This window comes from Homo sapiens, chromosome 6 (assembly GCF_000001405.40).
Source record: "Homo sapiens chromosome 6, GRCh38.p14 Primary Assembly".
In the NCBI taxonomy this organism is placed as follows: Eukaryota; Metazoa; Chordata; class Mammalia; order Primates; family Hominidae; genus Homo; species Homo sapiens.
In genome coordinates, this window is record NC_000006.12 from 27957006 (window position 1) to 27967510 (window position 10505).

At 37.7% G+C, this 10505-nt stretch overlaps 1 protein-coding gene and 1 pseudogene across 1 annotated transcript, besides 1 other annotated feature; both read left to right on the plus strand.

The window, feature by feature from the left end:
• The first annotated feature begins 235 nt into the window (after positions 1 to 235).
• Positions 236 to 1177, plus strand: OR2B6 (olfactory receptor family 2 subfamily B member 6). Its single transcript, NM_012367.1, has one exon. It carries the CDS (start codon positions 236 to 238, stop codon positions 1175 to 1177), a length of 942 nt encoding a protein of 313 aa, NP_036499.1.
• Positions 8123 to 8527, plus strand: RPLP2P1 (ribosomal protein lateral stalk subunit P2 pseudogene 1; annotated as a pseudogene).
• Positions 9893 to 10051: a silencer, noted in NCBI's record as "fragment chr6:27934676-27934834 (GRCh37/hg19 assembly coordinates)". NCBI's record gives its function as "represses an EF-1alpha promoter that drives an FKBP-Casp9 reporter gene in an ReSE screen in HepG2 liver carcinoma cells {active_cell/tissue: HepG2}" and the evidence as "EXISTENCE:reporter gene assay evidence [ECO:0000049][PMID:32094911]".

Below are 10505 nucleotides of genomic sequence, written 5' to 3' on the forward strand. Positions count from 1 at the left end.
TCACTTTTGCAGTGATGATACAGATATAGAAAGATTAAATTTTAGAAATACTTTGGTAATTATGAGCATTTTCAACTGTATATTTTTCATGTAATAAAACAAGCAATATCAATTCTGTAAATATCTTCAAACAGGTAGTAAAATGACTATAAGTAACTGAAATAGTTAACAAATATGTGTTAATTGACTTCCTGAATTTTTCTGTTTCAGGAAACCAAGAGTTGAAACATTAATCATGAATTGGGTAAATGACAGCATCATACAGGAGTTTATTCTGCTGGGTTTCTCAGATCGACCTTGGCTGGAGTTTCCACTCCTTGTGGTCTTCTTGATTTCTTACACTGTGACCATCTTTGGCAATCTGACCATTATTCTAGTGTCACGCCTGGACACCAAACTTCATACCCCCATGTATTTTTTTCTTACCAATCTATCACTCCTGGATCTTTGTTACACCACATGTACAGTCCCACAAATGCTAGTAAATTTATGCAGCATCAGGAAAGTAATCAGTTATCGTGGCTGTGTAGCCCAGCTTTTCATATTTCTGGCCTTGGGGGCTACTGAATATCTTCTCCTGGCCGTCATGTCCTTTGATAGGTTTGTAGCTATTTGTCGGCCTCTCCATTACTCAGTTATCATGCACCAGAGACTCTGCCTCCAGTTGGCAGCTGCATCCTGGGTTACTGGTTTTAGTAACTCAGTGTGGTTGTCTACCCTGACTCTCCAGCTGCCACTCTGTGACCCCTATGTGATAGATCACTTTCTCTGTGAAGTCCCTGCACTGCTCAAGTTATCTTGTGTTGAGACAACAGCAAATGAGGCTGAACTATTCCTTGTCAGTGAGCTCTTCCATCTAATACCCCTGACACTCATCCTTATATCATATGCTTTTATTGTCCGAGCAGTATTGAGGATACAGTCTGCTGAAGGTCGACAAAAAGCATTTGGGACATGTGGTTCCCATCTAATTGTGGTGTCTCTTTTTTATAGTACAGCCGTCTCTGTGTACCTGCAACCACCTTCGCCCAGCTCCAAGGACCAAGGAAAGATGGTTTCTCTCTTCTATGGAATCATTGCACCCATGCTGAATCCCCTTATATATACACTTAGGAACAAGGAGGTAAAGGAAGGCTTTAAAAGGTTGGTTGCAAGAGTCTTCTTAATCAAGAAATAAGAAATATGCAAATGATAAGCTTTGCTAAAGACAAAATGTTTACTTAGCTTACTAACTTCTCTGTAAGTTGCCCTATTTTTGTTGTTACTGTAGAGAACAATGTAAACTCCCTCAAATAAAATTTCCTTGATGAAGAGCTATATTTACTTCTGTTGCCTTAATGTTTTCATTGAACAAGCCCCCAGAATTGACCTTCCAATTCACCAAAAATTGTAATCACAACATCTTCAAGGTTTGTCAAACATCCCATCAATGCTTGTACAATTCAATGTAAATTAGATCCGTAGAAAAGCCAGAAGTTCTTTCTCCAATATCACACACACACACACACACACACACACACACACACACTAGTTAAACGAGGCTCACTGAAACTCTCAAACCCCACCACTTCAAATTTGGATCTGAGGTTAACAATTCTAATTTTAAATTTTCCACTCCCGCATCAGCATAAGGAAATCTATAATAATTTTTATTCTAAAATTGTAACCAGATTTTCCATTTTCTTACCATATTTCTGTACTCATGTTTTTCCTACTAAATGAAGGCATTCTTTTTACTTCCTTTGCAAATCAAACCCTAGATATTTATTAGGTCCAGCTAATTTTCTTTTACATGAATTTTTTTTCATAATTCTCCCAACTATCAATATTATCTACCGTTCTCTTAAACCCTAAAGCACTTAACAGCTTAGATTCCAAAATAGCACATTATGTAATGATTTCCAAAGAGTTCTTGTTTAGTACTTTTGTCTTGCATAATAATAGTCTAATTATATTTTATTCTTGAGGGTACAAAAACTATACCATACATTTTACCACAACACCTTTAGAAGTCATCATAGTGCTGAGGAAGTAGCATGCATTTACATTATTAGTTGATTCTTTTGATTGTTGAGTGATTCATTTACATTATAATAATTTAACAACCTTGCTACCCTTCTTTATCCATTGTTTTCTTCTACTAATGCATTATACATGTAGAAAATACAATAGCTTAAAATATATTTATCATGTTTCTTATGAAAACCTACAGTAACTCCATGTACTTTTGCCATAATAAAATGTTAACAGAGAAATAAATCTGGTTTGCCAAGTTCTGACTTCAGTTTTCTCTCCTAATAGGGATAATTATCATAAAAAACATACATGGAAGCAAAATACTGATAAAGTATATTTAAAGCTTAAGACAATAATTTTCTCACTGAAAATTAATTCATTGCTAAAGGTCCAAATAAATGACAGATCAGATTACTGGAGACAAATGTGTATCTCAAAGCCAATGTCAGTGTAGTTTGGTGAATTATGAGGACATAGAAGAGAAAACAGAATTCCAGAAATTGAAATAGTTAATTTTTAAATTGAGAGGTTAATTGATTTAATTAATTTTATAATTGTAGATTTGGTTTTTAACTAGTATTTATATTGGTGTGCTGGTGTATAATTTTATACTGGTAACTTCTGTAACTAAGCTATTATCAGTTACCTTGAGAATATAAAAAATATATTAATTATTCATATAGAACAAGACATATTAAACTATCTCTCCTTTTTTGCAATTCTGAGAAATTTATTTTTCTAATACAAACCACTTTTAAGTTTTTAAGTGGTTTGTATTTTAAGGAGAATGTATTTTGGATTTTTTTTATACTTGTAGTAAAATATACATAAAATTTGCTAGTTTAACCATTTTTAAGTGTACAGCCAGTGGCATTAAGTGCATTCACATTGAGCGTCAATCTCCAGAATTTTTTCATCTCCTGAAACTAAAACTCTGTACCCATTAAACAATAACTACCCATATTCCATATTCTGTCCCCACCAGCCTCTGGTAACCACTATTCTATTTTCCATCTATGATTTTGAATACTCTAGATACCTCATATGAATGAAATCATAGAGTGTTTTTGCTTTGTGGGTTATTTCACTTAGCATAATGTCTTTAAGGTTCATCCATGTTGTAGCATGTGTCAGAATTTCTTCCCTTTTTAAGACTGAATAATATTCTATTGTATGTATATACCACATTTGGTTTATCTATTCATCAGTTGATAGGTACTTGAGTTGCTTTCACCTTTTGGCTATGTTGAATAATGCTGCCATGAATATCGGTGTATAAATATCTGTCTGAATTCCTGCTTTCAGTTATTTAGGGTATATACCCAAAAGTGGAATTGCTAGATCATACAGTAATTCTACTTTTAATTTTTTGACAAACTGCTATACTGTTTTCTGTAATGGTGGCATCATTTTTCATTCTCACCAACTGTCCACAAGGGCTATAATTTCTCCACATAGCTCATTTTAATAAAGTTAATTTTTATAAAGTGTTTTGTGATATCTATTTTATGACATAGAGAATAACCAGAAAATAGTAGAATTCTATTTGTTCATATCTATTTCTATATGCTCACTCAAAAGTTGATTAATGGAAATTACTCAAGAAGAGAGGTTTTATTGTATTAGGACATAAATATTCAAATATAAGAGCAATCGGGTCCAACCACCAATGGTAAACTAAATCTAGGGAATAAAACAACATCATATTTTGGAGGCTGAGGCAGGAGAATCACTGGAGCCCAAGAGTCAAGGCCAGCCTGGGTAATATAACAAGACCCATCTCTAAAAAAATAAAAAATAAAATTGAACATCAATGCAAAAGCTTTTACTACATGTTATATTCTATGTAATAGTAGAAATTATAAGATTGGCAGTGACTCTTATAAAGATAGAAATAAGGACATATATTCATGGTACCACATGTAGATTATTGAATTCAGTTCAATTCATAATAATCCTTATAACAGATATACCTATCCTAATAGGGAGTTTTTATGGTAAATTGCATCCATGATAACCATTTCCATTGAGGTCCAGAGAAACAAAATGTGAAAAAGAAATGACAGATAAATTGAAAAATTTGGGAAAATGTCACATAGAAAAGGAGTTAGACTTTACTTGTTGGTTTCTAAAATAGAAAGAACTTGTAAGAAGTACGTGGAGACAATATTGGTTGTATGGACGGACTTGCTCACAGTCAGTAGAAGACAAAAATTGAATGATTTGGCTTCATGAATAATAAAATTTCCCGGCCAGGCACAGTGGCTCAGGCCTGTTATCCCAGCACTTTGGGAGGCCAAGGCAGGCAGATTACTTGAGGTCAGGAGTTTGAGACCAGTCTGGACAACATGGTGAAATCCCATCTCTACTAAAAATACAAAAATTAGCCGAGCATGGTGGTGCACACCTGTAGTCCCAGCTACTCGGGAGGCTGTGGCAGGAGAATCTCTTAAACCCAGGAGGCAGAGGTTGCAGTGACCCAAGATCATGCCATTGCACTCCAGCGTGGGCAACAAGAGCAAGACTCCGTCTCAAAAAAATAAATAAATAAAAATTTAAAAAATAAAATAAAATGTCCTTAGCAACAGTTATTCAAGTATATCACTTTGTGGAAATATTTCATATGGTATTCAAATACTGGAAGGATGGTTGGATTACATAACTGATAAGATGATTTCTAACCCAGAGATTCTGTGAGTATGTGAGTATAAATAAAGAAGGAATTTAACTTAGGAACAAAATAACTGTCTAGAGCCAAAAGTTCTGATGTTTTGGAATGTTTAGTTAAAGATTAGGATGAATAGCTATCTGTAGACATTCATAGGCTGAAGCCATGTAGCCTATTATCCTCTGATTAAGCAGCATAACATTAACTTGCTTTTTATTGTTGTATGACTTTTAGTAAATTTATACAGTTGTTCACCAGTTGTACTTTATGATTGTTTCCAGTTCGGATTATTTTGAGTAATGTTTATATGAAAATGCATAGACAATGTTTTATATAGATACATTTTCATTTTTCATGAGCAAACATCTAGGAGTAGAAATGCTAGGTTGTATGGCAAATCCATGTATATACATTTTTAACAAAATACTAAGCTGTTTTCTAAAGGATTATACCATTTTATATTTTCTCCAGCAACACATGAGGGTTTTAATTTCTCCCCATCCTAACTGACACATGTTTTCAGCCTTTTGGATTATAGCCATTCTAGAGTATATGTAACAATATCTCATTATGTATTTAATTAGCATTGTCTAAGTGGCCAACGATGTTGAGCATATTTTCATGCACTTATTAGCCATTTATATAGCTCCTTTTATAAAATATACATTAAAATATTTTGCCCATTTATCAAATGAATTGTCTTATTATTATCAAGAGTTTTCTGTATATTGTAGACACAGTCTTTTATCAGATACATATTTAGCAATTATTTTCTCCTAATCTGTAGCTTTTTTGTTTCTTTTTTATTTTTGACAGAGTCTCACTCTGTTGCCCAGGCTGGAATGCAGTGGTGCAATCTGGGCTCACTGCAACCTCTGGAGGCTGAGTTCAAGCTTATTTCATTTTTAACACCTTCATTGAGATATAATTTGCATACCATAAAACTTTCTCATTTAGAAGTACTGTTCAGGCCCTGCCAGGTTCAAGCTTGTTTCATTTTTAACACATTTATTGGGATATAATTTACATACCATAAAACTTACTCATTCAAAAGTACAGTTCAGGCCAGGTGGGGTGGCTCATGCCCGTAATCCCAGCACTTTGAGAGGCCGAGATGGGAGGATCACTTGAGTCCAGGAAGGTGGAAGCTGCAGTGAGCCCTGATTGCGCCACTGCACTCCAATCTGGGTGACAGAGCAAGACCCTCTCTCAACAGAAAATAAATAAAATAAGAAGTACAGTTCAGTGGTTTTCAAGTACAGTCACAGAATTCTGTAATCATCATCACAGTTGAATTTTAGAAATTATAATTATCCCCCAAAGAAACCTTGTGTACTTTCGCAGTCACTTTCCATTTCACCTGCTCTTCACTTCCAACCCAAGCCATTGGCAACCATTAATCTACTTTTCATATGGATACATTAGCCTATTCTAGACATTTCATATACATGGAGTCATATAATATACAGCCTTTTGTGACTGGCTCCTTTCACTTAACTAATGTTTTCAAGGCCCATTCATGTTGTAACATGTTTCAGTACTTCCTTCTTTTTTATTGCCAAATAATATTCCATTGCATGGATATACTTAATTTCGTTTATCCATTCATCAGTTGATGAAAATTTCAGTTGTTTCCACTTTTTGGTCTTTATGAGTAATGTCACTATGAATATTTAAGTGTAAGTTTGTGTAGACATATGTTTTCATTTCTGTTGGTTATATATTCTACATAGGAGTGAAATTGCTGGGCCATATAGTAACACTATGTTTAGGTTTTTTTTTTTTTTTTTTTTTTTTTAAACAGAGTCTCACTCTGTTGCCCAGGCTGGAGTACAGTGGCACAATCTCAGCTCACTGCAAGCTCTGCCTCCTGAGTTCAAGCGATTCTCCTGCCTCAGCCTCCCGAGTAGCTGGAATTACAGGCACCCGCCACCAGGCCTGGATAATTTTTGTGTTTAGCCATGTTGGCCAGGCTGGTCTCAAACTCCTGACCTCAAGTGATCTGCCTGCCTCGGCTTCCCAAAGTGCTGGGATTACAGACGTGAGCCACTGCACCCAGCCACTATGTTTTCCAAAGCAGCTACTCTATTTTAATTCCCACCAACAACGTAAGAGGATACTAAGTTTCCACTTTATTGAAAACACTTTGGTATTGCCATTTTTCTTTATTATAGACACGCTGTTGGTTGCAAAGCAGTTATCTTGTGGTTTTGTTTTTATTTCCCTAATGACTAGGGATATTGAACATCTTTTCATGTGTTTATTGGCCATTTGTATATCTTCTTTGGAGAAATGTGTAGTCAAATCATTTGCCCACTTTTTAAGTTGAGTTATTTGTCTTTTTATTATTGAGATATAGAAGTTCTTTACATATTCTGGGTACAAGTACTTTGTTGGAGATATAATTTGCAAAGATATTCTCCTATTCTGTATTTTCAATTTCTTGATGGTGTTCCTTGAAGCACAAAGTTTTTAAATTGTGATGAAGCCCAATTTAAGTATTAAGAAACCACTGTGTAAATGAAGACCATAAAAATTTTTACCTGGGTTTTCTTCTAGGGTCTTATAGTTCAGCCTCTACATACATTTAGGTCTATGATCCATTTTGAGTTAATTTTTATGTATGGTGTGAGGAAGGAGTCCAACATCATCTTTTTAGATGTGCATATCTATTTGATGCTTGTCCCAGCATCATTTGTTGAACTGACTATTATTTCCTCAATAAATTATCTTGGCACCCTTGTCAAAAATCCATTGACCGTAAATCTGAAAGTTTATTTCTGGACTCTCAATTTATTCCATTGATCCATATGTTTACTTTTATGCCTGTACCGTGCTTTCTTTATAACTGTAGTTTTGTAGTAAGTTTGGAAATTAGGAAGTGTGAGTCCTTCAACTTTGTCCTTCATTATTAACATTGCTTTGACTATTTTGTGTCTCTTGCATTTCTATATTAGTTTTAAGATCAGCTTGTTGATTTCTGCAAAAAAACAAAACAAAAAACAAGAAAGCCAGCGGTGATTTTGTTAGAGATTGCATTGGATCTATAGATCAATTTGGGGAGTTTTGTCATCTTAATAATATTGTTTTCCAACCCATGAACATGGGATGACTTTCCATTTATTTAAATCTTTCATTTCTTTCTACAATGTTTTATAGTTTTCAGTGAACACGACTTTTACTTCTTTTAACAGAGGTCCAAAAGAGGTCAAACCTCTCTACTGACTGCAAGGCTGCCAGAGTTTGAATACGATGCCACTGAGCTTGGGATCCCCAAGTTAAAATATCACAGACCCCTACTAGCTTACTAAGATTCAGCAGTTTCTCTTGGATAGACCATTTAAGTTTGTTTGTTCTGTGCCTTAGCTTTATTTCCAAAGTTCCAGAAAAGACAAGTCACAGATCGGGAGAAAATATTTGCAAAACATATATACCATGACCCATGAGGCCCCTCCTCTGCCACTGCCACTGCCACTGCCACTGAGATGGTGTATCTCACTTCCTACCTATTACCTTCCCTCATGAGCAACACCTCCCTTAGTGCCAAGGACATTAAGAAGATCCTGGACAGAGTAGGCATGGAGGCAACTGATGACTGGCTAAACAAGGTTATCAGTGAGCTGAATGGAAAAAATATTGAAGATATCATTGCCCAAGGTATTGGTGAGCTTGCCAGTGTGCCTGCTGGTGGGGCTGTGGCCCTCTCTGCTTCTCTGGGCTCTGCAGGTCCTGCTGCTGGTTCTACCCCTGCTGCAGAAGAAAGATGACAAGAAGGAGGAGTCATCTGAAGAGTTGGCCTGTTCAATTAAATTCCTGGTGTCCTACAAACAAAGACTTTTCACATTAAAAAAAAACAAACAAACCAGTGTGTGTGTGTGTGTGTGTGTGTGTGTGTGTAATAGAGGCTTTGTATTCAAAATATACAAAGAACTCCAAAGTTCAACAATAAGAAAACATGTAAACCAATTAAAAAATGGGCAAAATATCTGAACTGACACCTTAACAAAGAAGACATGCAAATGGCAAATAAGCATGTAAAAAGATAGTCAATGTCATTTTTTATTAGGAAATTGCAAACCAGAAAACAGGGAGATACCACTACATTCTTATTAGAATGGACTAAAATCTAAAAAATCGACAATACCAATTGCTAGCAAGGATGCGGAGTGGCAGAAAGTCTCATTTATTTCTTGTGAGATGCAGAAGAGTACATCAATTTCCTGATCACTGCAATTCATTCCATGACCCACATAGATATTTTTCTCCCCATATGTTAGGGAAGCAGATCTCTCATGGTCTTCATGGACTTCTCTTTCTGAGTGGAAATTCACAAGGGTATCTTCTAGTTATCTATTCCAATCTCCCCCACCCTCATCTAGCATCTTGAAGGGTCTTGGTTGCTGACCTGGGATTGTGACCCAAACCTTCATTTCTAAAGGTCTGAACCCTTGGTAATCATGACCTTTTCAGTCTGAAGTTGCTGCACCTGTCTATTCATAGTTATGATGGAACACAGGAGGTAGCCAAGTAGATCTCCTGTGCTCCACATGAATGATTCTGCGGCCCTATTGTCTAAAATCAGCCCTGCTTCTTCCTGCTGATCAGAGTCAATTTCCCCTGACAGTATGGTATGGTAGTTATCTATTACTGCATAACAAATCACCCCGAAACTTACTAGCTTAAAACAATAAACGTTTATTACTTCACCATTTCTTTTAGGTTAGGAATCGAGGCACAGCTTAGTGGGGTCCTCTGGCTCCGGGTAGGTCTCACACAAGGATACAAAGTGTTGGCTGGAGCTACAGGCATCTTAGGTCTTAATGGGGTTTCCAATCTCACCCACTACCAGTTGGCTGGTCTCAGAAGACCTACTTGCAGGGTTACTCATTTAGGCCTATTCATACGGCTGCTCCATGACATGGAAGCTATCTTTCTCCACCATGAGTAATCCATCAGAAAGAGTGAGAGAGAGTGCACCTAACATGAAAGCCAGTCTTTTTAGAACCTAACATCTTGGAAGTGACATCACATCACTTCTGCTTTGTTCTAATTGTTAGAAGTGAGTCAATAATGTCACAGGATCCTTCAGGTGTCACTTCGCCAGCCAGAAACCTCTGTGGCCGTTGGCGCCTCTGCTTGAGTTTAGCTCATGCCCACTGGGCTCATTTTGCCCACTTGGCTAATTTTGCCCACTTGGCTCAGCAGGCTGCACTCGGTTTGCACTACCGGCCCAGATCCCATGCCCGCCGAGGGTGAGCCAGGCACAGAGCAGTGAAGGGTGTGTGAGTGAGCGTGGTGTCTGGCCACTGTACACAGCCAGGCGCACCGTCTGCTGTGGCGGAGTAAGCAGCTCCTAGTGCCGGCTCCATGCAAGGCTGTGGCTGGACCAGGTATACGGCAAGCAGCTTCCCCTGCAGGCACCGGGCCTGGACGAGGGGAATGCGGTGGCGCCTGAAAACTTGACGATGCCACAATGTCAGAGCCCCAAGGGGTGTTGGGCGGAGCACGTGCTACATCTCTCTCTTTCCCGCCACCTGCAGCTTGGTAAATGGATGCAGGGTGGGTTTCAGCCCGTTGTGTTGCGGCTTGTTCAGTCCCACCACCCCACTCCAGCCCACAGCTCTTGGGCTGGCCCAGCCACACGGCTGCTTCCCATTGCATGGGGCAGCCACCCCACACCAGTGGAGGTGGGTAGGGCTATAGTGTTACAGCTCTGGCAGGGGGAATCCCGAGGTCTGGGCCCTCAGAAGAGTCACTAGTCACCAGGCTTCACTCCCACAGTTTGACAAACAGGAGTGTGTCACTGCCCACATAGCTTAGC

What these genes read in the sequence shown, in the direction of transcription:
- OR2B6 (NM_012367.1), top strand. Translation starts at nt 236, where the DNA reads ATGAATTGGGTAAATGACAGCATCATACAGGAGTTTATTCTGCTGGGT.